Raw genomic sequence first — 23,926 nt, forward strand, 5'->3', positions numbered from 1 at the left:
GGTAAAATCATAACATATAGGTTACATTATACAGCTAGTGAAGTGGGAAAATAAAGTTGAAGAATTCCCAATGGTAGATAGCATTTTTGCACAGAATGGTTTTAAATAAACTCCACATTTTAAAGTCCTGATGGTTTGTATTTAGCATAAGGTTTAAAATGATAGTAATACTGTATGCTATATATAGAGCTGCCTGAATTTCAACATTGCTGTTGCCAAGGTAGATAGCAATTTGAAAATGGGTCTCAAGCTTGATAATGTGTATCCTGTCATAACCTAATTAACAAATGCGCCCTACAGAAATCAGGAGCGTGACCAAAAAAAAAAGTTTAAATCAGCATTTTATAAAAACTAGAAACAAAATAATTGCTTTCACAATGTAGTACTTGAAACTAAAGTTCTCCAGCTATCAACAGATGTGACTCCAGCATCAAGGGCCTAGCAGGAAAATTCTGAATGGTTTACAACAGTGCACATAAGTTGCAGGTGGCTGGGGCCGTGTGTCTATTTGATGCTTCCCAGAATGTGTGCTGCTAGTCACCATTTCCACCATTCACATATTTAACATTTTTATTAGACTTTTATTTAGCCTCATCATAAGAATATAAGGGAGATCATAGATTTGATGTATGAAATTTTTAAATTCACACTAAAATACATTACGATTAAAATGAATTATCTTCAACCACCCGTTTTGCTATCTTTTGCTGAGTAATCTGTGCCAGTCATTGTGAAAAAGTCTTTATTTTAAGAAAAAAATTTAGTTAACAAAAAATTTAACAAGTTTCACTTAGCAAAATACACCCAAAAGGAAATCACAGTACAAAGAAAGTTTTAAGTCAAGGCCTCACCAATTCCTACAGTATTAGTATTGTGTCTCAATTCTCAAAACTAACTTTTAAAAAGCTTAAACTTAACCTAAAGGATTTTAAATGAAAATATAAACTAGAATGAACAAACATGAGAAATATTTCTTTGAATCAGGGAGCTAGCACCTTTGAGTTTTCCAAAAAAGCACGTCTCCCCAGTGTGTTCACTGTGATGTGGTGTAAAAGATCCACATTTAACATACTTAAACTACTTAAACTTAGATAACATCACTCTGAAGTATACTACCAAAATGTTAATTGAGAAAAGCTGAAAATAGTTTTAGTTTACTCATTATCACATGCTAGAAGAAAATTTTGCATGAGAAAACACTGAAGAGGTAATTTTTTAATCCAGATTTTTCACAAACTCATGGTGCAAAATGGGTCCCCCAGCTTCCTCTATTATAACTGCTCTTAATTGCTTGTTGGCTGCCTGTGAAAATGATTGAAGTAACTCAAATGTTCCTAACAAAACTAGTCATAGCCACCCATGCTGTTCTGCCCACTGTAGCCGGCCCCGTAACAGCCACTCACTGACTGGCTCTCCAGGCCACTGTAAGTGGCCTGGGCAGCAGACACCCCCATGCCTTGCATCACCTGGCTGCTATACGCCCCATTGCTGGCCCCTGTTGTTGAATTCAAGAAGAGTTCTATATATCTGTGCTGCATATTGGCCCTGTCTTTGGACATAGCTGCCACAGCTTCTTCATGAGTAGCAAACTCAACATCTGCTTCACCCGTCACTCTTCCATCTGGGCCAATCTCAATATGGACTCTCACAGGGTTGAGAGGAGAGAAGAAGTTGTAAATGTCGTTCTCGGTCGCTTTGTACGGCAGGCCCCTCATGTGGACACAGTGGCCTGTGGTGCTCTGCACTGTGAACTCACTGTCGCCGTATCTGTGGTCATACATTCCGGAGAGACAGTAGCTGAGGTCTCTCCCGAACAGGTCGGTGGTGAAGCCGTAGCCATCACTGAGGCCACTGTACTCCTCGTAGCCCCCGTAGCCTGTGCTGTAGGCACCAGGCCTCATCCTTTCCAGGCCTGCCTGCTTCACGATGCCAATGTACCTCCTGGCAGTCCCGGGCCGGTCATAGGGCCCTGGCCGCTGCACGGACATGAACTTCAGAGGGGGATCTGAGTATGACCTAACTTCCTCCTGGCTGCTCTTAAACACCTCAATGTACCTGTGCCCTATCCTCTCCTTGTGTTTCCCTAGAGCCTTCTCAGCTAACTCCTGCGAGGCAAACTGCACGAACGCTTCCCCTGTAATCTTGCCTTCGGGGTCCACAGGCAATGTGATCCCGTTTGGCACAATTTCCAACCCTGAGAAGAACTGAACAATTTCTTCCTTTGTGCATCCAAATGGGAGTCCTCGAAGCCGCACGAAGCCATCGTTGGCGCTGTCGGCACTGTTGGGACCACTGTGCTTCAACACCCAATCCATCTCGGTTCTGTGGGACTTGAACACCTCAATGTACCGGTGTCCCATGCTTTCCCTGTCTTTTTTCAGGGCCATTTTTACATCATCTTCTGATCCAAGTTCAACAAAAGCCTCACCACTCTGCCTGCCCTCTCTAGTGTAGATGAAATGGACACCTGCGGCCCCATCATGAATCGTGCAGTCAGAGAGGAAGTTCTGCACGTCCTCAACAGAGCAGGACCAGGGCAGGCCACGGAGCTTGACCACAAAGCCTTCACCTCCCTCAGGGCCCAGCATCATGGACACTTGTCAGGGTGGGTGTCAGGTGATCTTGGGTGTGGCTTTTTTGTGGCTGGAAAAAAAAAAAAGAAAAATTTATTTAGTATGCAACAGAAATTTTCCCCATTTTACAGACGAGAGAGGTAGCAAGACATTAAGAAATATACCAAATACAATTGAGAGCTAAGAGTTAACTCCAGGTCTCTCAAAAAATTACATTATCAGTCACAGGCAGTTTGAAAAACAAATCAGGAGTTTACAAGACAGGACGATGCATGTGAATGTGGTGCCTTGAACACAGAGAAATGTAAGTTTCAGTCAGTTTAGAGCAAGGGCATTTCCTTGTTATATTTATTCCACATATTTGTCATGATAATATGTGGCAGTTCACCTATAAGAGCTCCTGAGTTGTTCCTCCTAAACTATACGCCTTACATTTGGTAAAATAGTAAATTTAGTAAATCTGCTTGTCTATGGTAGGATACTTTTACTTTCATGAGTAAAAATAAGGGATGGGAACATAGCAGGCTGTTTTTAAACCACAACATAGGGTAAGATTTTCTAGTGTTCTCATCAGCAGTAATGTTGCCAGGATACAAGACAGCAATGGCTTCCACTGTCTATGGAGTTATGATTTTGCTCCTAAATTGTCAATTCAAACTAAATACCAGTCAAGTATGAGGCCAAACTGATGACATATACAGACAAGCAGACAAATTCACCAGCAGACTTAGTTATGTGCACTGCAAATAAATGGAGAAACCAGATCAGATGATTCACAGGTTCACATAAAATATAGCAGAATTGCTGCCTTGTGCTGAAGATCTGGAAGAGGGCATCGGGAAGAAAGGGCAATCGCAAGAGGGCTGAGAAATGCCCTTCCCACCAGGGTGGTACATGGCACCTGAAGTCCAAACTCAGAGTAAGGCCAACCACACACTGGAAGGCAGTCTTCTGAGAAAGAGGAGCAGCTGACCTAGACAGCAGGGTCTATAACATAGTCACAAGCAAGAAAAACACTGCAGTATCATGGGGCCAAAGACGTATTTTTATATGAACACTGTCAAGGGTGACGCTCAAAAAGAGCATAGGAGTATATGGAATTTTTTTTTTTTTTTTTTTTTTTGAGACAAGAGTCTCACTGTCGCCCAGGCTGGAGTGCAGTGGTGCTGTCTCGGCTCACTGCAACCTCCGCCTCCTGGGTTCACGAAATTCTCCTGTCTCAGCCTCCTGAGTAGCTGGGATTACATGCACCAGCCGCCACGCACGGCTAATTTTTTATACTTTTAGGAGATACGGGATTTCACCATGTTGGCGAGGTTGGTCTTGAACTCCTGACCTCAGGTGATCCGCCCACCTCAGCTGCCCAAAGTGCTGGAATTACTGGCGTGAGCCACCATGCACAGCTGGAAATCGAATGTTTCAAAGTGTCATTTTACATCAAGCATAATAGATATAGCTGGTGGCCTTTTCAAGAAATATGGGCTCATCATGTGGGGAAAAAAGCTCCATAAGAAAACCCCACAATTTAAAAAACAGACAAAAAGTAAAGGTAAGTGTAATTTAAGAAAAGGAAAAGCAAATTCATACTAAATAAATGCTCAACTGCACTAGCTTCAGGGAAAATTAGTAATTTTAAAGTTTGATGTAGCCATTGCAGATAATGACATATTATCATACAGTGCTTCATCATTTCAAATTGACAACGTCTAAAAGGATAATTGTGTAAATCTTTCAAATTTACCTGTGTCTACACCAGATTATAAAGATAACAAGATGTGTCTCCTCTCCCAATAACAAGCATAATGGCACAAATGAAACAGAACAGTATGTGATATCCTGAACACATCACCAAGACCAAACACTCGGCATTTACTCACGAACTGTGATTTGGAATGCAAGGGCTTTCAAAGTATACAGCCTAACTAAAAGATGTCACCCTTGCTAATGAGAGTGGAACATGGAAGCCTCTGGGAAGAGAGTCAAGGGGAGCCTAACCTGGATTGCTCATTGCCCACCTCAAATTATTGACTATGTACATAAACTCCATCAACTTTTATAAAATAATCCTGAACGGCAAATGATTGGGCATAAATAATCCTATCCCCAATTCTCAAACTGTGCTTTGGGTCTGCAACAAACCCTGGGGTTTAGCCTCCACCTTAGAAAGTAATGGTCTCCGCCTCCCCAGGGCCTTATCTAAATCCCCTGCATATGGCCACTGCAACATGCTGATCTGGCAGAGCAAGGTCACAGCAGATTCTTCCTCTCCTGTCCACGGAGGGAATTCTGTGCTAACAGTTCAGAAGCTCCTCCTTGGAGAGTCAGGGCAAGTTTGTATTGTGTCTCTTGGGATAATGGGTCTGGGACAGCTCAATTACAGGTGGGGGCTTCTTATGCAATTCCATTCCCAACACTGGGTCAGGCTAGGCACCGCCTGTCCTTTTGTCTTTGACCATACCCTGGTCTTGCTCCTCACTCATGAAAAGTATCTGAAGGCCTCCCTCGAGTTCTGTTCCTAGCCTTAGGTCCAGCCATCGTTCCGGGTAGGGGAGATGAAGCCATAATCCACTAACCATTTTCTCCTGGACTCCTACCTCCAATGATTTCACCATTCCCTGCAGGAAACCCCACCTAATCACATCCTACTCCCTCCACCACAACTGCTATCCCCCTCCTTTGTAGAGACCTTGGCTTCCTTATCCACACAGCCTCTTTCTCTCCTCATTCTTCATAATCCAGCTTAGAGCAAGTATCATTTTACATTCCTTCCTCACAATACATGGAATTCATTCAATGAACTTCTTAACTGTACGCGCCCAGTAAAACCAGAGCTCTGGAAGATTCCAAACAAATATCTGACTACTCCATGGATGTACTGAGTGGCTCAGCTGCACACAGCCAGGCGAAACGGTGCCTCTAAGCTACAATTTCTCAGCCTCAGGACTACTGACATTTTGGACCAGACAGTTCTTTGTGTTGTGGAGGCAGGCCCAGGCACTGTAGGATGTTTAGCTGCATCCCTGGTCTCTGCCCACTAGATGCCAGTAGCACCCTCCACCTCCAGTTCTGACAACCGAATGTCTCCAGACATTCCCAAATGTTCTCTGGTGGCTAATGCTGCCCCCAAGTTGTGAAATACTGTAGAAATCAGGGTGAGGCCAGGCACAGTGGCTCCCACCTATAATCCTAGCACTTTGGGAGGCCGAGGTGGGTGGGACCACTTGAGATCATGAGTTCCAATAGACAAAACCTCTGTCTCGACTAAAAATACAAAAAACTAGCCGGGCGTGATGGTGGGCACCTGTAGTCCCAGCTACTTGGGAGGCTGAGGCAGGAGCATCGCTTGAACCTGGGAGGCAGAGGTTGCAGTAAGCCAAGATCGCACCACTGCACTCCAGCCTGGGCGACAGTGCAAGACTCTGTCTCAAAAAAAAAAAAAAAATTACCTGGACGTGGTGGTGGGCGCCTGTAGTCCCAGCCACTACGGAGGCTGAGGCAAGAGAATCACCTGAACCCAGGAAGCGGAGTTTTCAGTGAGTGGAGATCGCACCATTGTACTCCAGCCCGGGTGACGGAGCGAGACTAACTCCAAAAAAAAACCCACCACACAAGAAAAAAAAAAGAAAATCAGAGTGAACAGCCATAGAGTAAGCGGGCCCTCAATATCGCCCACTGTCCTACCCCAGCACCCTGCTTGTCCAAAGCCCTTCAGATGTCTGGGGCAGCCTTACAGACTCTCACCTCCTCTCCAGCTGGTTGACATTACTCTTGGAAGTGGACTTTGTGAAGTCAAGTCAGAGTCCAGGAGTTTGTAAGCACGTAGTGGGCCCCTTACAGCGGACATCGTGAACAACAGCTCTGCTCTGGGTCCAACCTCACATACCCCGGAGCCATGCTTTCTTCTTTTTTTCCTTTTCCCCTTTCTCCACTGAGCCCTGTCTACTTGGTAATTAAACATGCTCAGTTCTACCCAATCATGTCATACCTCCCCTGTGCCAACTTTGCCTCTAGCTACTTGTTGATTTGTTCAGCAAAATCTTGTCAAAAGGCCTCTACTGTCACTTCCACTCCCCTCCATTAAAACTGCATGATCAAGGCCACGTGTGGTGGCTCACCGCCTGTAATCCCAGCACTTTAGGAGGTCAAGGAGGGTGGATAACCGGAGCCAGGAGTTCAAGACCAGCCTGACCAACATGGTGAAATCCCGCCTCTACCAAAAATACAAAAATTAGCCGAGCATAGTGGTGGACACCTAGGTTGAGCGCAGTGGCTCACGCCTGTAATCCCAGCACTTTGGGTGGCCAAGGCAGGCAGATCATTTGAGGTCAGGAGTTCCAGACCAGCCTAGCCAACATAGTGAAACCCTGTCTCTACTAAAAATACAGAAAAATTGGCCGGGCACAGTGCCTCACACCTGTAATCCCAGCACTTTGGGAGGCTGAGGCAGGTGGATCATGAGGTCAGGAGATCGAGACCATCCTGGCTAACATGGTGAAACCCCGTCTCTACTAAAAATACAAAAATTAGCCAGGCGTCGTGGCGGGCGCCAGTAATCCCAGCTACTCCAGACGCTGGGACAGGAGAATCGCTTGGACCTGGAAGGCAGAGGTTGCAGTGAGCTGAGATCGTGCCACTGCACTCCAGCCTAGGCGACAGAGACTCGTCTCAAAAACAAAAACAAACAAAAAAACTGCATGATCCTACTATACAGATCTCCATGGCAAGAAAAAGAGCAAATGTTTTTATCTTCATCTTACTTAACCATTCTTTCCTGGAAATCCTCTCCCTTTCACTCCTGTTGGCAATTACTGTTGGTTTTCCAGTTAATTCCTTAGACAGTCTCTGAGTCCTTCCTTAACCATTAACTGTAGGGAATCAGGCTTGGGCCCAAGTCCTCTTCTCAGTGGACTCACCTGCTCCCAGGGTCTCCATAATCATCTCCAGGGTCAGGAGATACACAAACCCCCAGTCTTCGGCTCCCTGAAGCCTAGACGGGTAGACACAACTCCACTCCACAGGTTCTCCTCTGTGCCACAACTAAACCTCACATTCTCTCTTCTGTCACACTCCAATAGCAACATGACTGCCCCTACCTGCACCCAGAGGCTCTAGAAGGAAACTGGAGTAATCCTTGACCTTCTCCCAAGCCCTCAAATCCAATCAACTCAACTCCCTTGGGTGATCCCATTCTCCACAGTATCCTCATCCCTAAATCCTATTCAACTCTTCCATTTCCTCAGCAATAAAGGTGCCTCACAGCTCTACCCTGTTCCTAACACGTTGAATGGCAGCCTATGAACTCAGTAATTCTTTTCTTTGTAATGGGAGTTATCAAATTGTCATTTTCTTTCTGTACCTCATATTGTTATTTCTCCTATTCTAATTCCTGTATGTACAAACAGCCAATTCCAGATTACCGATATATCTTTTAAATAAGTCCAAGCATAGGCCGGGCGCAGTGGCTCATGCCTGTAATCCTAGCACTTTGGGAGGCTGAGGCGGGCAGGTCACCTGAAGTCAGGAGTTCAAGACCAGCCTGACCAACATGGAGAAACTCCGTTTCTACTAAAAATACAAAATTAGCCAGGCGTGGTGGCGCATGCCTATAATCCCAGCTACTCAGGAAGGCTGAGGCAGGAGAATCGCTTGAACCTGGGAGGCAGAGGTTGCGGTGAGCCAATGTCGCGTCACTGCACTCCAGCCTAGGCAACAGGAGCAAAACTCCATCTCAAAAAAAAAAAAAAGTTTTCCAAGCACAGTGGCTAGGCCTTACTGCAATCCCATCTACGGCTCACGTGTACTTTTAAAACTCATTACTGTCCTGCATCCAAGTCCTCAGTGGTTTCCCACTGACCTCAGAACAAGGACCACAGGCCCAATGGGGTCCCTCAGGCCTTGCAACTTTTGCCTGCAACACTCTTCTACCTAAGCTCACATCACTTCCTTTTTTCTCCTGGAATGTGGCAAGCTCTCTGCCCCTTCAGGGATGTGACGCACATAGTTGACACTCATGGTTAATTCTCTCCCCAAATATACTCTGTTCAACCTTCTGTCTACCTAAATCCCACTAATCCTTAAGGTCTAAGCTCAAATACACCACCTTTCTCAAAGGTCTTCTCATTATCCAAATTAAGTCTCATGCTCTACACTAACCACAGCACTCTTGTGTTGTTAAAGGGGTCTTAAACCCACAATAGGAGCCTACTGGGGAGAAACTTGTGCCTGTTTTGTTGGCCACCATGACCCCATCCTCAGCACAGACTTGACCCAGCTGGTCCAAGATTAGCCAGGATTAACTGTTGCCCATGTGTAGGGGGGTCAACACCTTCCTCAAGAAGGCAGTGGCCTGGCTAGGCTGAAAAAGACATACAAGCAGCATAAAAAATAAAAACATTTCATAGAAGAATTACTTAAAATGCCTAATCTTTTACATGTCATAAGTGTTTTGCATCAGGAAATGTTTCAGAAGCAAAATTACTTCCTCTCTGAAGGCAAGGCGAAGAGACCATTCCTTTCCAAAACACATGTGTACACTTAAAACACTTACTGCTTATTTTTACTCCAGAATTGGTTTTCTGTTCCATTTCTCAGAAGTCCTAAGGCTTTTCATTAACTAAAACTCAAGCTGAAAAGAGCCCTGTGGTGTCCTGCTCAAGGTTAATGTTAGGGACAAAACTTTTTTCACTCCAGGCTGCTAAACAAATTTGAGTATAACAAATATAAATACTGCAGCTGAAAAGGGGCTCTTCTTAAAATAGCTTACCTTAAAAACAACCACGGATGCCTTCAGTGGGAGACACTTCTGGATGGTAATGAAATGTCCTAAAAAAAAAACAGAGCGATATTGGCTGTGTGGTCTCAGATCCTAGGCACTGGCTCTGGGATCAGAACTCCAGGTAAGGACAGAAACAGCTGGGAAGCCCTTTATATAGCCCGTGGGTTTAAATTAAATCTCACACCCCATCCACCTAACAGCATTTTGGAAGTATTATCTTTTCACAGGGCAATACAGAGCACAACAAAAGGGAAACGCCTTATTGATCTTGATGAGATTTACTCTTGATGAGATTCTCCTGCCTCAGTACCTGGTATTACAGGCGTGCACCACCCCACCCAGCGAATTTTTGTATTTTTAGTAGAAATGGGATTTCAATATGTTGGCCAGGCTGGTCCCAAACTCCTGACCTCAGGTGATCCGCCCGCCTCTGCCCAATTCTAAGTTTGTACACTGAGGACCCTAAGTGCTGGGAGGAAATTTAAATATCGGGGGCAGGGCACTTGGGAGGGAGATGGGTGGGGGAGAAGTGACAACCACAGGGGACTTGACCTTAAGACCCCTCTTTCACTGGGATAGCATGGGCAAGGAGCAAGGGTGCTTGCTAGAAATTGTTCAGTCTGATTTATAGGAACCCCTCTGTAAGCAGTGTGGAGACACATCCAAAAGACACTTTCAGTTTTATTGGGTAACTTCTTTGAAATATGCTTCACTAGAACATACATCATAATCACTAGATCACCAACATCCCAGTAAAAACGCTGCCCCAAAGGACTAGGACACGGGCTGAGGGCTATGGAATTCTGAGAACTAAGCTGCTTGAGTTTTGGAAATGTGGAATTAGTAAAACCAGCTAATTATGCTGAACCTGTTGTCTTAACATGAAGATAATCAAATCTGCCTTGTCTTGCAAACTTCCAGTGATTATTACTTAAGACACTATTGGGGGGGTGTACAAATGGAAAGCATTACATTTATTAGGAAACCTATTCAGGGGTGAAACAGTTTCAAGTACTCTGGAATCAGGTTTTCAAAAGGCTTCAACAATCCGACTTGTTCAAGGATCTAAAGGGTGGAACCCAGTCATCTTAATGATCTGATCCACTTATGCCCTTGTTTATCCCTGCGTGATCCACAGACCAACACCCTGAGGCGTCTCTGGGGACATGCACAAGCTGGCAACCAGACCCACGTACACCCATTTACCCCAATGGACCAGCCGCTGTAAGCCTGTAGACCACGGCCACTGCGCACCGCCAACGCACGCAGAGGAAGAGTCTGGTCTCCCCGTCCGCAGCGCCAAGAAAGCGCTGGGGGCGGGGAGGGCTGCTCAGCTCCCCCAGGTGACTGGACCCGGAGGTTTTCAGATCGAGCTTGCACGGGGGCCACCTAGATAATTAAAACACCAACCCTAAAACAGATCTGGGTGGGGGCTAAGAATCTGCATTTCCAAAAAGCGCTCCCGAACGAGCTCTTCGCAGTGATACAGGTTGGACGGGATTAACGCTTGCCTTCAGGCAGAGCCAATCAAGATAAATAGGGCGCGCCGGAGTCCTACCAGTTCGGCTATCTGCAGAGTAAACAGGGCCGTTCAAGCACCACCCACCTCGTTTTCTTTTGTTCAGGACAGGACTCGAGGAAGGATCCTGGCCTCCCCTCCTAGACACACTCCCGTGCCCCCGGGAAACCGGGCAGCACTCTCGCCAGGAGGCTGGGAGCGCGTCTGGCCGCGCCGCCCCCATTACTCACTTAGTTCCACTCTCAAACCAAAGTCCACCCGGCCGGGCCCGCGGACTTTCATGCTCTAGACTTACCACGGAGGCGAGCAGGACTGGTTTCTGTTGCTACCAGGCAAGCGCGGCTGGCAGCCAAGAGCCCCGAAATTCCACCGAAGCTCAACCACGCAGAGGGCTCCGGGGAAACTCCAGGTGCATGTTTTTGTTCTCAACCTGCAACAGAAATCCAAGTGGTGGTGGGGTCCCTTCCGCAAGGTGGGAGGCCCGGGCGCGCGGTAAACGTGTTTTGGCGGGAAGCAGCGCCGAGGCCCCGAGACAAGGTGACGGCGACGTTCCCGCGGCCTGCTCACGGCACTCCAGCAGCCTCGGACCGCCCGGCCCGGCAGGAAGGTCGGCCCCAGGGCCTGCGCGGGCTCGGGCGGGAGCTTCCGGGCGGGGGGCGGAGCGAGCGGCGCAGCGGGGAGAGTGGGGGCAGGGACGGGAGGGTTCCCGGAGGGAAGGGCGCCTCGCGGGAGGGGGAGGGGAGGGGAGGGGAGGGGAGGGGGCCCCTGGCGGGCTTCCGGGGCCCTGAGGGCGAGAGCGAGGGCGACGGCAAGGTGGGGTGGGGGCTGCTCCCCGGCCCGCCAAGCTAGCGCTGCCTAGGCGGGAGCTCGGGGACCCGCGGGCCGAGCGCGGCTGAAGGGAGGGAAGGGAAGAGGCGCTCGTAGGTCTGCGTCCGTCTCCGAGCGACCGGGGCGGCGGAAAGGGACCTGGGGGGGGCGGCCGGGACTGGAGTGGCGGGGCCGGGGCGCCCGCGCGGCGGCTCACCACGCCAGGGACTGGCCCGTCGGCCCCGAGGAGGCGCGGGGTCCGGAGTCCGGGAAGCGGAGGCCTCGTGATCCAAGACCGGCAGCCGGACGTGGGTCACGGGGTGCAGAGGAGGAAGTGCCATTGCCGGGCCCGCCAAGATGTCACCAATGGGAAACGCGTGCCTGCAGGTGCGGCCCCGTGGCCCGCGCGCTGGGCCCAGGCAGGAAGTGGGGGAAGGAGAGAGTCAGGGCGGCGGGAAGACATTTCTCCGAGTTCTCCCGAAGGGAGCCAGGCGCGAGCGCGACCTGGGGAAAGTCCAGAGTGCCAGCCACGGGGAAGGGCGGGCAGTGCAGAGTGGAAGAGAAGCCAGCAAGTTAGACACAGCCCCTCTCTGGGAGGCCGCCTCTAAAATGGAACTAGCGGACGTACCTTGGTTTGTACATTTGACCATGGACACACGTAAAGATTTTGAAAAAAAATCTTTGAAAAAAAATTTTTTTAACGCAATTCCTAAACTTTTAACTAACGCAATTTTGTGGACCTCTGAATCTTAATTCAAATGAACTGGAGAACAACTATAAAGCAATTTCGATAATATGATCAGTGACATTTTATATTGCAGAATTGTAAATTTTGTTGTCATTATACTGTAATTTTATTTCTTTAAAAGACCCTTTTTAGAGCCACAAATATTTGCAGATGATACCTGATTTCTTGAATGTTTCAGATTACGTGGAAAGTGGAAATATACATGAAACAAGATGTGCTATGAACTAGTAATTTTTATTAAAGCTCCTGATGTATACATAGAGTTTCATTACACTTGTTTCTACTTTTGTGTATGTTTGACTGTTTTGTTTGTTTGGTTGGTTTTTTTTGAGACACAGTTTTCACTCTGTCACCCAGGCTGGAGTGCAGTGGCATGATCTTGGCTCACTGCAACCTCTGCCTCCTGGGTTAAGGCGATTCTCCTGCCTCAGCCTCCCGAGTAGCTGGGACTATAGGCCCATGCCACTATACCCAGCTAGTTTTTGTTTTTAGTAGAGATGTGGTTTCACCGTGTTGGCTAGGCTGGTCTCGATATCTTGACCTCGTGATCCCCCTGCCTCGGCCTCCCAAAGTACTGGGATTATAGGTGCGAGCCCCATGCCCGGCCTGTTTGGAGTTTGTTGTTGTTGTTTTTTTTTTTTTTTGAGAGACAGTCTTGCTCTGTTGCCCGGGCTGGAGTGCAATGGCACGATCTCGGCTCACTGCAACCTCCCCTCCCAGGTTCAAGCGATTCTCCTGGCCTCAACCTCCTGAGTAGCTGGGATTATAGGCGTGCGCTACCACACCCTGGCTAATTTTTGTATTTTTAGTAGAGACAGGGTTTCACCATGTTGGTCAGGCTGGTCTCAACTCCTGACCTTGTGATCCACCCACTTCAGCCTCTCAAAGTGCTGGGATTACAGGTGTGAGCCACCGCGCCCGGCCTGTTTTACGTTTTTAACAGAATTATTATTATTTTGAGACAGGGTCTGGCTCAGCTGCCCAGGCTGGAATGCAGTGGCACGATCATGGCAATGCAGCCTCAACCTCCCAGGCTCAAGCAAGCCTCCAACCTCAGCCTCCTGAGTAGCTGGGACCACTGGCATGCAACCACACCCGGCTAATACAACTGTTTGTAAAACTGAGAGAAAGCAAGTCTTTAGAATGCACTTACTAAATAACACGAATTACAGGGAACAGTAACATACTGCATATAGTGATGTAGACTGTGGGAAACTACAAGGACAAATGAGCCAGTCCTACCTCAGAATAGTTCCAGCCAGATAAAAGAACCCACAGAATTATGGTTATGTTATAAAATAAAGCAATTAAGTTTTAGAAATCCATCTTGAAATATTTGTGATGGCTTGGATTTGTTTGAAGTTGTCCACAAAGTAGTAGGTGGGGAGATGGAGAATAACTGTCCATGATTAGTAACTGTTGAATCTGTGTGACAGGCACATTAGCCTCAACCTCCTGGGCTCAAATGATCCTCCCACCTTTAGCCTCCCCAACGTAGCTGGGACCACAGGTGCATGCCACCAAGCCGGGCTAATTTTTTTTTTAATTTTTTAGTAGAGGCAAGGTCTCTCTATGATGCCCAGACTGGTCTGTAACTCCTGGGCTCAACTGATCCACCTTGGCCTCCCAAAGTGCTAGGATTATAGGTATAAGCCACTGTGCCTGGCCCAAGGCAAGTTTTAATTATTGATCAGTCACCATAGGGTTCCTGCCTGTGAGGGAACAATGTGTGCAGAAGACTTGAGCCAGGGGTTGTATTGTGCAACTGCAGCTAGGTCTGAGATCAATGGTAGGAGATGACATAGCCTTAAAGGCCTGGTTTGGTGTTCAAAGGCCAGTGGGAAGGCATTTAATGGAATGTGGTGTGAAAGGAGTTTTGCTTTTTAACACAACAGTCTAGATGCTATCTGGAAAATGAATGGTGGGAAGAGATACATGGAGACAAGATGGGAAGGAATGAAACAAGTCTAGGAAGACTGGTGGGAGAAGAATGTGAAAGAATGTGTAATGTAGAGAAAAATGACTGAGTCTGGAGACTGACTGACTCACCAAGAAATACTACGCACCTAAAAGATACAGGAACTGTAGTGGTAAAGAGACACAGTTCCTGCCTTGGTGGGTCCAGTAACAGTGGAGTAGGAAATCAAGAAATGTACAAATATATGATGACAAATTTTAGAATGAACGAAAAACAGAAAATAGGCATTAGCTCAGATTGGGGTTCTGAGGAAGTGACATTTAAACAGACAGGAGCATGGGTGAGTGGGAACACTGAGTGATGAATTTCATGTAGAAAGAAGGGAAATTCTTTTTTCCTTGATAAATAGCTGAGGTTTAAAGTAGAAGCTGGCCAGGAGCAGTGGCTCAAGCCTGTAACTCCAGCACTTTGGGAGGCCGAGGTGGGAGGATCACTTGAGCCCAAGAGAGTTCGAGACCAGCCTGCGCAGTATAGTGAGACTCCCATCTCTATATAGGAAAAAGATAAAAACTGAGGGAAAAAAAAGAAGTTAAAAGCCCATTATTCTTTTTTCCTTCTGTACATTATCTCCCCTCTGGACACTTGTTCAAATTATTTATATTTTTTACCAAAGCCCTTTACTGGGATACATTTTGGTGCTGGATGCTTTGTATTCATATTCTTATTTCGTGGTGAATCCTTTAGATTGAAGAAATTTTAGGACACAGCTTCTGCTGCTCGTGTCTGTTCACCACATGAGAAGCACAAGATGCATCTTGGGGGCAAAAATTCCCCATCATGGTATATAGTATGTGAGCAGATCATAGACCATATTTGTTATGGATGTTTTCCTTTTCTGTTGGAAATATTGAAAATTGGGTTTAATGGCCTCAAAAGTATCTTCCAACCCAGCAATTTTATAAAATTCCTATTCAGTCACTCTTAAGTACTTCCTGCTGTCATGAACTCAAGAATTATGATACAAGACACTAATTCCATTTAAAAAAATGCACCAACGCACACATTTGTACTTAACTTTTCAGGGGCACATGTATCTGAAGTGTGAGAATTCTAACCCAATTCACACAACGTGCCAAATTCAATACACAGAGCTATCCTAAAAGCTATTAAGGACTGAGAAGTGGCCAGGCACAGTGGCTCATGCCTGTAATCCCAGCACTTTGGGAGGCCGAGGCGGGTGGATCACGAGGTCAGGAGGGCTAATACGGTGAAACCTCGTCTCTACTAAAAATACAAAAATTAGCCAAACGTGGTGGCAGGCACCTGTAGTCCCAGCTACTCAGGAGGCTGAGGCAGGAGAATGGTGTGAACCCGGGAGGCGGAACTTGCAGGGAGCCCAGATCGCACCACTGCACTCCAGCCTGGGCGATAGAGCGAGACTCCGTCTCAAAAAAAAAAAAGACTGAGAAGCTGCAGATGGAGCATATATTAACATTTTAAATGTTTACTCCATTATTACTACATTTATATCCACCAAAGGGGATCTGTCCTGATCTGCATGCAACAGGAAAGCTGTTTTCCATTACCATCTATCAGGTCCTTTCACTTACTTGCTGTAGCTAAGTCTGGGGGGATAACACACTGCTTCCCTCAGCGTTCATTTCTCAAAAGCTGTGTTACTAAAAAGCATCAAGAGTAGTATAATGTAATGTTAGATAAATTTTATCTATACTGTTTGTACTGAAATTAATATAAGGGACAAATTCTGACCGATCATAAAACAAGCAACCATTGCTGTTTGATATTGACTGCATTTTGCAAATGCCCAAGAATCATGATATCTAAGGTAAATGTTCCTTAAAACGTTAATAAAAAGCAAAACTGCTACTAGACTTCTGTTCCTAAAAATAAAATCTGTTCTTAACTGAGGGCAAATATCATTATTTGGATTAGCTGGAGTAACTGGAAATAATATCCAAAGAAATGGGTGTGTATAGATTCCGCTAAACAAAAATACAATTGATAGGAAGATCAATTTTGTTTTTCCCAGACCACCTCCTGTACCTCTCTCCCTTGAGCAAGCAGCCCCTAAATAGGTGCATAGTCAAACCCTGGAGCTGGAGAGAAAGGAGGCCTGTGGGGTATCCTCAGCCCCCTGAGGAAGGTACATTCCTTGGGATGGGAATTCTTCCTGAAGCCTCCATGGAAACATGACACCTTAGTCAGGTTCCAAGCAGCAGGCCCTGAGCTGAGACTGCTGGCCCTGAGCTGTGCTGCCCAGGGGACCACTGCATTCTGCCTTGGGGGAATTGTGCAGAACAGAGAGATGGAAGGAGGAAAGGAACATGACAATTTACAGAAGAGGGGCTCCGGCACCCAGAAATAACATACCACACCTCAGGTTTCAGGGAACAAGAAGTGCTAGACAAAAACCATAATGATTTTAACAGGAAAAAAAGAGCAACTTCAGATACCACTCCATTACAAAACTTAAAAAAAAAAACTTTCTGGAACTAAAACTGAGTTTTAAATTTAAAAGTTAGTAATGAATTCAAAGAAAGGAAAACGAAGTAGAATAAACATCAAAACAGAAACAATGGGGGAGAAGATAAGAGATTTGGAGGACATACTTTTTCCAAAGCAGTTTCCTCTATACTTTAGGAGTTTTACCAACACACGCCTGTGCTGTGTCTTTTCAAAATATCCTAATGGGAACTACAGGGATCTTAAGCCAGGAAAATTCACTTCTAATCCTTTATCGCTTCTCTTGCTGCCTCCATCTGTGTCTTTTTCTCCTTCTGGAATTCCTACTATTCACATTATTTCTCCTGCCTGAAAAGAAACCAACCCTATCAACACCCTCATCTTAAGACTTCTAGCCTCCATAACCGTGAGAAAATTTGTTACTAGTCTGTATTACTTTGCATGGCAGCCCTAGCATACTAATACAACGTGTTACCAAACCAGACAAAAACATCACAAGAAAACTAACTTCTGAATTCTATGTACTTTAAGAGGATCGTATATGGTATCTAACACCAACTTAAATTAGAAAAGATATGTATTTGTCATAAACATCATAATTCTATTAGATGGCACTATTCTAATCAAATAACTTATGATGGATTTATCGGGATATAACAGTAAGTAAGAGTATCTGTATTTGTATTAGGTGAAGCATTTTGTCTAACAGGAGGCATACCGTTAGGATAAATCTAATAGGAGTCTTAATCTGTCATGCCTTTTCTTAATTATGATGGCTTTTTTTTTTTAAACGGGGTCTTGCTTTCTTGCTCAGGGTGGTATGCAGTACTGCAATCACAACTCACTGCATCCTCTATGTCTTTACAAGTGTTCGCTATCATACCTGGCTAATTAAAAATTCTGTTTTTGAAAAGATAGGGTCTTGCCATCTTGCCCAGGCTTATCTTGAACTCCTGAGCTCAAACCATCATTCCACTCTCGGTTCACTGCAACCTCCACCTCCTGAGTTCAAGCAATTCTCCTGCCTCAGCCTGGGATTACAGATGCACACCACCACACCTGGCAAATTTTTGTATTTTTAGTAGAGATGGGGTTTCGCCACATTGGCCAGGCTGGTCTTGGACTCCTGGCCTCAAGCAATCCGCCTGCCTTGGCCCTGCTGGGATTAAAGGTGTGAACCACCCCGCCCAGCCTGTGTCATTTTCAAGAGATCTTTTTCCTAGCCCCAGCCCATATAGTTATCTGAACTTACAAAGCGTTGATGTTCTTCTCTAAATTTTTACACTTACATCTACAATGAACTTGGAATTGATTTTTTCATTTCCAAAAGAGTTTTACAATTAATCAAGTATCACAGGCTAATTTCACTCAAGAACTCAGATGCAAAAGTCCAAACCAAGTATCAGTCAACCTAATCCAGCAATATATAAAGCGATATTATGACCAAGTTGGATTTCAGGAATGCAAGTGTAGTTGATCATTTCAAACTCAATCACTGCAATTTCTCATACTGATGTATCAATGGAGACAAAGTATAGAGGTACTTTTTTAATGTTTTATGAGAAATGCTAAGCTGAATTTATGTCAAGGAAGAACTGAGGCCATATATAGTGGCTCACACCTGTAATCCCAGCACTTTGGGAGGCCGAGGTGGGCAGATCACTTGAGCTCAGGAGACCACCCTGGGCGACATGGCAAAACCCCTTCTCTACAAAAAATACAAAAAAAAATAGCTGGGCATGTGGCACACACCTGTAATCCCAGCTACTTGGGGGGATGAGGCAGGATTGCCTGAGCCCAGGAGGTTGAGGCTGCAGTGAGCTCTGTCCACACCAGGGCACTCCAGTGTGGGCATCAAAGTGAAACCCTTTCTCGAAAAAAAAAAATGTGGAGGGCTGGGCGTGGTGGGTGACTCACGCCTGTAATCCCAGCACTTTGGGAGGCCAAGGCAGGTGGATCACTTGAGGTCAGGAGTTTGAGACCAGCCTGGCCAACATGGTGAAACCCCCCACCCCCTGCCACTCCACCATCTCTACTATTAGATGGGCGTGGTGGTGCTGCACACCTGTAATCCCAGCTGCTCACGAGCCTGAGAATCGCCTGAACCCAGGAGGCGGAGGCTGCAGTGAGCCTGGATCCTGCCACTGCACTCCAGCCTGGGTGACAGAGTGAGAATCCGTCTATAAAAAAAAAAAAAAAGGAAAACAAAAACAAAAGTACATCTTAGAGCGATCACATGAAAAAGTATTCCTGCTAATAAATGAAAAGGAATCGATTATTAAAATATCACTAATTTGAAAACCATTTAAGAAAATAATGGATCTACATAATGATCATTAATAGCTGCTGTAACATGACAAAAGAGAAGATACCAACCAATATGTGCCTCCGGTTGGAGCACAGCACCTCAAGTAAGTTTTCTTTCCAAAAACTCTCATCTGAATCAAAACTACCTCCAGACTGGGTGCGGTGGCTCACACCAGTAATCCCAGCACTTTGGGAGGCTGAGGCGGGTGGATCACCTGAGGTCAGGAGGTTGAGACCAGCCTGACCAACAAGTTGATACTCCGTCTCTACTAAAAATACCCCTGTAATCCCAGTTACTCAGGAGGCTGAGGCAAGAGAATTGCTTGAACCCAGGAGGCAGTGAGACAAGATCACACCATTGCACTCCAGCCTGGGCAACAAAACCAAAACTCCGTCTCAAAAACAAAAATAAAACCAAAACCAAAAACTACCTCTAGAGGTAACTATCACTTTACAGGAAATATAAAGAACAGACACTCAAAGACCACCACGGAAAAACAATCAGAAAAATGCGAAGTGTGGGGAAGGAATGCTGCAAGACAGCCCGACAAATATAACGGGGGATGGAGCCTTTTAAGAAAGGGGAACCTCTAGATGATCACTTACACAGCATCCATTCACCACGCTTGAAATGTGTAAGTGTAAAACTCACACTGGATTTTGACAAGTTCACAGGATTTTGTTTTTAATTATTTTAGTCAAGATCATGGAGAAATGAAAAAGTGTTTTAAAATTACATGCAAAATAGTAGTGGATATATATTAGGTTAAATTATTAATACAATGAATCATGTTTCCTTTTACCACTAAAGAATATAAGATTACATTTATAGCATACATTATATTTCTATTGGACAGTGCTGCTCTGAATTTAAAAAGTTATCTACAAAATATAAGGTGTGACTTTGGATCCTGACTCAAACCAACCAGCTGTTTAAAATATTTAATACATGCCGGGCGCGGTGGCTCACGCCTGTAATCCCAGCACTTTGGGAGGCCGAGGCCGGCGGATCACGAGGTCAGGAGATCGAGACCATCCCTGCTAACATGATGAAACCCCGCCTCTACTAAAAATACAAAAAATTAGCCGGGCATGGTGGCGGCCGCCTGTAGTCCCAGCAACTCGGGAGGCTGAGGCAGGAGAATGGCATTAACCCGGGAGATGGAGTTTGCAGTGAGCTGAGATTGTGCCACTGCACTCCAGCCTGGGTGACAAGAGCAAGATTCCGTCTCGGAAAAAAAAAAAAATTTAATACAGAAACACTTAAACCCTGGATACTTGATATTTTGGAATGTATTTTTAGGCATGACAGCAGTATCATGGTTAGGTTTTAAAAGTTCTTAGAAATACTGCGGATTTATTTATTAATAAAGACCTTATTGGTCTGGGATTTGCTGTAAAATAAGCCAGGGCGGTCTTGGCTGAGCTCAGTTCTCCCTCTGCCCACCCTGTTGCCCTCCACAAGAACCGTAGCTCAGGGCAACTAAGACAGGGCAAGGGCCCTGGCAGGGGAGGGGTGTCCCGGTCCAACTTGGGACCCAGTTGGGACTGGGTCCCAAGTCCCAATTGTGTCCCTGGACACATGACTTCTCCCAACCTCCATTTTCTCATCTGAAACATGGGGCTAATAGCAAGCCCTTCTGGAGTAGTCCTGAGCATGTAATTAGAAAATGGAGTAAAACTTCTAGGACCTAGTAAGAGTCAACTAATGTGGTTCTCCCGAAGAGCAGAGAACCAGAGCTCAGTGGGGGAGAGGGAATTAGAGAAGTCACCTCCAAGGAAAGGGCCTGTCACATTTCTGCAGCCCCTGCAGGCATCTACCCCCACCGGGCTCTCATTTGCCTCCAGGCTTTCCAAGGTTCTGGCCACGTGGGAGAAGTAACTTTCTATTTACTCAGTCTTTTCCCTTAAATAAATTCCATTTTTTACCTGAATAAAGCTTTATAACGCTACCCTTAACAGAAAACTTGGCAGTTTACAAAAAAGTGGCCGGGCACGATGGCTCACGCCTGTAATCCCAGCACTTTGGGAGGCAGAGGCGTGAGAATCGCTTGAGCACAAAAGTTTGAAAATCAATCTGGGCAACATAAGGAGACCCCATCTCTACAAAAAATACAAAAATTTGCCGGGCGTGCTGGAGAGTGCCCGTGGTCCCAGATACTCGGCGGCTGAGGTGGGAGGATCCGTTGAGCACAGGAGGATCTCGGCAGCGAGCCGAGATCACACCATTGCACTCCAGCCTGGGCAACAAAGTGAGACCCTGTCTCAAAAAATAATACATATTTTTTTATAGAGACGGGGTAGGTCTCTGGGGCCCAAGCGATCCTCCCACACCTCGGCCTCCCTAAATGCTGGGATTACAGGCGTGAGCCACCTCGCCCGGCCGATAATGACTCTAATCTACAGAATGCACACCGGAATGTAATACCTACAAGGGAAAAGATCTTCTTGCTTAGGAATAAAGCAATCTCTCTCTTAATATTCATTAAAGTAGTAATGTCTTATTTTATAGTTTATAAATTCTGTGAGAGCAACGAGTCACTTTGCAGGAATAGCACTTAAGGTATCTTTCACCTACCTGGAGAACCCAAGAAATTTTCATCTTACTAGGAATTCAGAGACAACCACGTATTTAACTTTTAAAAATATAACTAAGTAGAAAGAATTATATGCGTGTATTTTTGGAAGAATTAAGATGACTTTTGGGACGGAACGACTGAAAACTACGCTTTCAGAACTCCCTGCCGCCTGAGGCTGTGGCCCTGACCCCGGCGCAGGGCCCGCCCCGCGCGGTTCCGGGAAGCCGCCGCCGCCGCCCGTTGCCCTTCGCGCGCAGCCGCCAGCGCGCGCCTCGCGTCCCGCCACGCAGATGGCCGGCCCGAGCCCCCAGCGCCCGCGAGCAGTTTCGAGAACTAAAGAGGCGCGTCAGCTCGTCCCCGGGCCGCCCGCGGGCAATGGCCGAGCTCGGCTCTCCTTCCACCCTCCGCCGGGACACACGCGGAGCCGAGCGGGGGTCCCAGGCGCCTAGGGGGAGGGGTTCCCGCGCCCGGGGCGGCCTTGGGGGGAGGGCGAGTCGGGTGCCTTGCTCCTCAAAACCCTGGTCCACGACTCTGCGGTTGGGGGAGCCGGGCAGCCGGCGCAGCAGGAGCCGGGCCCCGTCCACAAGTTTCCTACGAGCAGGGCGGAATCGACGAAAATACTTAATACAAACAAACAAAAGGAAAAAAAAAAGGACGACTAAGCTGAAGAGCGCGCACGAGTCAGATTTTCACCCCAAATACAAACACGATACCTCTAGGAGCAGGAGACCAATACAGGGACCGCGCTCCGAGGACACGCGGCGCAGCCGAGGAGGAAAAAGGGCCCGGGGCCGAGAGCTAAGGCTACGGGAACCGGGCGTGGGAGGAGGGCGGAGCCAACTCCCCACAAGGAAGTCTTGTGCAACTCTCAGGCGCCTGCAGCCACGTGAGCGCGCGGCTTTCATTTTACTCAGGTATTATTACTATTATTACTTCTTTTGAGACAAGGTCTCATTTCCGTCGCCCGGCTGGAATGCAGTGGCACAATCACTGTCACTGCAGCCTCGACCTCAGAGCAAGCGACCCTCCCGCCTCAGCCTCCCGAGTAGCTGGGACAACAGGCGCGCGCCACCACACGTGGCTAATTTTTTTTTCTTTACTTTTCAGTAGAGACAGTCTATGTTGCCCAGGCTTGTCGGGAACTCCTGGGCTCAAGAGATCCTCCCGGCTGGGCCTCCCACTGCGCCAGGCCTGTTCTCACTTTCAGAGCCCTCCGGCAGTCGCCAGCTCCCCGCCAGGGGGCCGGACTAACGCACCCGGCCGTCCGTGCCTTCCCCGCGCTTTCCTGACTCCAAAATCTCAGCCCGCGGTGCTCACCGCGTGGGACCACTGTCTGGGCGTGCGGCTCTCGACCTCCGACGCTGCGTCTCCCGATCCCAGTGGGTCCAGTTCTTGCCGGTCCCACGTACGGGCCCCTCGACCTCGAATCCCGTCACCCAAATCTCAGCGCCACGGCCCCTCATTATGTGCAGTCCTCGCTCGGTCCCAGGTTTGCGGCGCTTAAACTCAGATCGCTCTTCCCTGATCCCAAATCCCAGCCCCAGCCCAACGATCCCCACCCCAATAGGCCCAGTCCCCAGGTAGTCCGGGTACGGGGCCCTGGACTTCGGATAGTCTCCCTAATCTCAAATCCCACCCCCCGTCCCCACCCCCAGGGGGACCCGGTCCCCGCTAGGTCCCGGGTGTGCGGCCTTCGACCTCGGAGACTTCGGCCGCCCCTCACCTCGGCCTCCGAGTCTCTACACTCCCGCTCTCATATCAGGCACCCCGGTGGTCCCTTGGAGCACCTAGAGGAGGGTGGGACGCGGGGAACTTGGCAGTTGTAGCAGAGGCAGTTGAGGCTTGTTGACCATCACCATGGAAACCCCCGCCTGCGAGCACGGGGCGGAGCCTACGAGGGGCGGGGTCAGGCGCGCTGCCGGCCCCAATCCTCAGCGCCTGCCCGTCGAGCGCACGCGGCTTTGCCGGAAGCCCTCCTGCTCCCGGCGAGCCAGGCCCCGACTAGGCCCTACTGCCCGGCTCAGCCCTTTGCCCTGGACACCAGGAAACAGAAGCCCAAGGAGCCCGCGTCCCCACCCCCTGCTACCTGCCGGCGTGACAGCGATTCGGTGGCCCCCCGAACCCCACCTTGAGGAAGACGCGGCGCAGTCCTGCTTCCACGACGGAGCCGGAAGGACGCAAGGACCGCGGCAGGGCGGAGTTTCTGCGTCCGGCGT

General features: G+C 47.5%; 1 protein-coding gene across 6 annotated transcripts, besides 16 other annotated features; it reads right to left on the reverse strand.

The window, feature by feature from the left end:
• Positions 1-324: 324 nt before the first annotated feature.
• Positions 325-23,893, reverse strand: HNRNPF (heterogeneous nuclear ribonucleoprotein F). 6 transcript variants are annotated; one of them, NM_001098204.2, is made up of 4 exons: positions 23,838-23,893; positions 11,163-11,297; positions 9,337-9,395; positions 325-2,643 (listed from the first exon to the last, which is right to left on the reverse strand). In NM_001098204.2, exon 4 carries the CDS (start codon positions 2,589-2,591, stop codon positions 1,344-1,346), a length of 1,248 nt encoding a protein of 415 aa, NP_001091674.1. In that variant the 5' UTR covers positions 2,592-2,643; positions 9,337-9,395; positions 11,163-11,297; positions 23,838-23,893; the 3' UTR covers positions 325-1,343. The 6 variants fall into 6 exon arrangements, with proteins under 6 accessions (NP_001091674.1, NP_004957.1, NP_001091675.1 ...); NM_004966.4 differs by having other exon boundaries at positions 23,797-23,893; NM_001098205.2 differs by lacking the exon at positions 23,838-23,893 and adding an exon at positions 23,434-23,564.
• Positions 1,434-1,935: an enhancer, noted in NCBI's record as "H3K4me1 hESC enhancer chr10:43882175-43882676 (GRCh37/hg19 assembly coordinates)". NCBI's record gives its function as "activates a minimal SCP1, AML or CMV promoter by ChIP-STARR-seq in naive and primed H9 embryonic stem cells {active_cell/tissue: H9 hESC(naive and primed)}" and the evidence as "EXISTENCE:reporter gene assay evidence [ECO:0000049][PMID:30033119]".
• Positions 1,936-2,435: an enhancer, noted in NCBI's record as "H3K4me1 hESC enhancer chr10:43882677-43883176 (GRCh37/hg19 assembly coordinates)". NCBI's record gives its function as "activates a minimal SCP1, AML or CMV promoter by ChIP-STARR-seq in naive H9 embryonic stem cells {active_cell/tissue: H9 hESC(naive)}" and the evidence as "EXISTENCE:reporter gene assay evidence [ECO:0000049][PMID:30033119]".
• Positions 10,044-10,931: an enhancer, noted in NCBI's record as "H3K27ac hESC enhancer chr10:43890785-43891672 (GRCh37/hg19 assembly coordinates)". NCBI's record gives its function as "activates a minimal SCP1, AML or CMV promoter by ChIP-STARR-seq in primed H9 embryonic stem cells {active_cell/tissue: H9 hESC(primed)}" and the evidence as "EXISTENCE:reporter gene assay evidence [ECO:0000049][PMID:30033119]".
• Positions 11,104-11,373: an enhancer, noted in NCBI's record as "active region_3293". NCBI's record gives its function as "activates an Ori minimal core promoter by ATAC-STARR-seq in GM12878 lymphoblastoid cells {active_cell/tissue: GM12878}" and the evidence as "EXISTENCE:reporter gene assay evidence [ECO:0000049][PMID:35858748]".
• Positions 11,494-11,953: a silencer, noted in NCBI's record as "silent region_2327". NCBI's record gives its function as "represses an Ori minimal core promoter by ATAC-STARR-seq in GM12878 lymphoblastoid cells {active_cell/tissue: GM12878}" and the evidence as "EXISTENCE:reporter gene assay evidence [ECO:0000049][PMID:35858748]".
• Positions 12,708-13,593: an enhancer, noted in NCBI's record as "H3K27ac-H3K4me1 hESC enhancer chr10:43893449-43894334 (GRCh37/hg19 assembly coordinates)". NCBI's record gives its function as "activates a minimal SCP1, AML or CMV promoter by ChIP-STARR-seq in naive H9 embryonic stem cells {active_cell/tissue: H9 hESC(naive)}" and the evidence as "EXISTENCE:reporter gene assay evidence [ECO:0000049][PMID:30033119]".
• Positions 14,132-14,271: an enhancer, noted in NCBI's record as "active region_3294". NCBI's record gives its function as "activates an Ori minimal core promoter by ATAC-STARR-seq in GM12878 lymphoblastoid cells {active_cell/tissue: GM12878}" and the evidence as "EXISTENCE:reporter gene assay evidence [ECO:0000049][PMID:35858748]".
• Positions 16,323-16,842: an enhancer, noted in NCBI's record as "OCT4-NANOG hESC enhancer chr10:43897064-43897583 (GRCh37/hg19 assembly coordinates)". NCBI's record gives its function as "activates a minimal SCP1, AML or CMV promoter by ChIP-STARR-seq in naive H9 embryonic stem cells {active_cell/tissue: H9 hESC(naive)}" and the evidence as "EXISTENCE:reporter gene assay evidence [ECO:0000049][PMID:30033119]".
• Positions 21,863-22,232: a silencer, noted in NCBI's record as "silent region_2328". NCBI's record gives its function as "represses an Ori minimal core promoter by ATAC-STARR-seq in GM12878 lymphoblastoid cells {active_cell/tissue: GM12878}" and the evidence as "EXISTENCE:reporter gene assay evidence [ECO:0000049][PMID:35858748]".
• Positions 22,403-22,462: an enhancer, noted in NCBI's record as "active region_3295". NCBI's record gives its function as "activates an Ori minimal core promoter by ATAC-STARR-seq in GM12878 lymphoblastoid cells {active_cell/tissue: GM12878}" and the evidence as "EXISTENCE:reporter gene assay evidence [ECO:0000049][PMID:35858748]".
• Positions 22,603-22,652: an enhancer, noted in NCBI's record as "active region_3296". NCBI's record gives its function as "activates an Ori minimal core promoter by ATAC-STARR-seq in GM12878 lymphoblastoid cells {active_cell/tissue: GM12878}" and the evidence as "EXISTENCE:reporter gene assay evidence [ECO:0000049][PMID:35858748]".
• Positions 22,603-23,223: a biological region, named in NCBI's record as "H3K27ac hESC enhancer GRCh37_chr10:43903361-43903964".
• Positions 22,620-23,223: an enhancer, noted in NCBI's record as "H3K27ac hESC enhancer chr10:43903361-43903964 (GRCh37/hg19 assembly coordinates)". NCBI's record gives its function as "activates a minimal SCP1, AML or CMV promoter by ChIP-STARR-seq in naive H9 embryonic stem cells {active_cell/tissue: H9 hESC(naive)}" and the evidence as "EXISTENCE:reporter gene assay evidence [ECO:0000049][PMID:30033119]".
• Positions 22,663-23,002: an enhancer, noted in NCBI's record as "active region_3297". NCBI's record gives its function as "activates an Ori minimal core promoter by ATAC-STARR-seq in GM12878 lymphoblastoid cells {active_cell/tissue: GM12878}" and the evidence as "EXISTENCE:reporter gene assay evidence [ECO:0000049][PMID:35858748]".
• Positions 23,513-23,632: a silencer, noted in NCBI's record as "silent region_2329". NCBI's record gives its function as "represses an Ori minimal core promoter by ATAC-STARR-seq in GM12878 lymphoblastoid cells {active_cell/tissue: GM12878}" and the evidence as "EXISTENCE:reporter gene assay evidence [ECO:0000049][PMID:35858748]".
• Positions 23,733-23,792: an enhancer, noted in NCBI's record as "active region_3298". NCBI's record gives its function as "activates an Ori minimal core promoter by ATAC-STARR-seq in GM12878 lymphoblastoid cells {active_cell/tissue: GM12878}" and the evidence as "EXISTENCE:reporter gene assay evidence [ECO:0000049][PMID:35858748]".
• Positions 23,894-23,926: the final 33 nt, after the last annotated feature.

The sequence above is a fragment of the Homo sapiens genome, chromosome 10 (genome assembly GCF_000001405.40).
Source record: "Homo sapiens chromosome 10, GRCh38.p14 Primary Assembly".
In the NCBI taxonomy this organism is placed as follows: Eukaryota; Metazoa; Chordata; class Mammalia; order Primates; family Hominidae; genus Homo; species Homo sapiens.